The 1,121-nt window shown below is 51.1% G+C and overlaps 1 annotated feature.

Moving 5' to 3' along the window:
* Window positions 328-827: an enhancer, noted in NCBI's record as "H3K4me1 hESC enhancer chr8:55962859-55963358 (GRCh37/hg19 assembly coordinates)". NCBI's record gives its function as "activates a minimal SCP1, AML or CMV promoter by ChIP-STARR-seq in naive H9 embryonic stem cells {active_cell/tissue: H9 hESC(naive)}" and the evidence as "EXISTENCE:reporter gene assay evidence [ECO:0000049][PMID:30033119]".

Here is a 1,121-nt window from a genome sequence, read left to right as displayed (position 1 = left end):
TGGTTATTCTAGTTATACCTTCGTCTAAATTTTTTTCAAAGTTTTTAACTTCTTTGCCTTTGGTTTAAATTTCCTCCTGTAGCTCAGAGTAGTTTGATCGTCTGAAGCCTTCTTCTCTCAACTAGTCAAAGTCATTCTCCGTCCAGCTTTGTTCCATTGCTGGTGAGGAGCTGCATTCCTTTGGAGGAGGAGAGGCACTGTGCTTTTTAGAGTTTCCATTTTTTCTGCTCTGTTTTTTCCCCATCTTTGTGGTTTTATCTACTTTTGGTCTTTGATGATGGTGATGTACAGATGGGTTTTTGGTGTGGATGTGCTTTCTGTTTGTTAGTTTTCCTTCTAACAGACAGGACCCTCAGCTGCAGGTCTGTTGGAGTTTGCTAGAGGTCCACTCCAGACCCTGTTTTCCTGGGTATCAGTGCCGTGGCTGCATAACAGTGGATTTTTGTGAACCGTGAATGCTGCTGTCTGATTGTTCCTCTGGAAGTTCTGTCTCAGAGGAGTACCCGGCCCTGTGAGGTGTCAGTCTGCCCCTACTGGGGTGTGGCTCCCAGTTAGGCTGCTTGGGGGTCAGGGGTCAGGGACCCACTTGAGGAGGCAGTCTGCCCGTTCTCAGATCTCCAGCTGCGTGCTAGGAGAACCACTGGTCTCTTCAAAGCTGTCAGAGAGGGACATTTAAGTCTGCAGAGGTTACTGCTGTCTTTTTGTTTGTCTGTGCCCTGCCCCCAGAGGTGGAGCCTACAGAGGCAGGCAGGCCTCCTTGAGCTGTGGTGGGATCCACCCAGTTTGAGCTTCCCAGCTGCTTTGTTTACCTAAGCAAGCCTGGGCAATGGCGGGCACCCCTCCCCCAGCCTTGCTGCTGCCTTGCAGTTTGATCTCAGACTGCTGTGCTAGCAATCAGTGAGACTCCATGAGCATAGGACCCTCCAAGTCATGTGCGGGATATAATCTCCTGGTGCGCCATTTTTTAAGCCCGTCGTCTGTCACCCCTTTCTTTGAGTAGGAAAGGGAACTCCCTGACTCCTTGCACTTCCCGAGTGAGGCAATGCCTCGCCCTGCTTCAGCTCACGCACAGTGTGCCGCACCCACTGTCCTGCGCCCACTGTCTGGCACTCCCTAGTGAG

The sequence above is a fragment of the Homo sapiens genome, chromosome 8 (assembly GCF_000001405.40).
Source record: "Homo sapiens chromosome 8, GRCh38.p14 Primary Assembly".
NCBI classification, from domain to species: Eukaryota; Metazoa; Chordata; class Mammalia; order Primates; family Hominidae; genus Homo; species Homo sapiens.
This window is presented reverse-complemented; position numbering and strand designations above follow the sequence as displayed.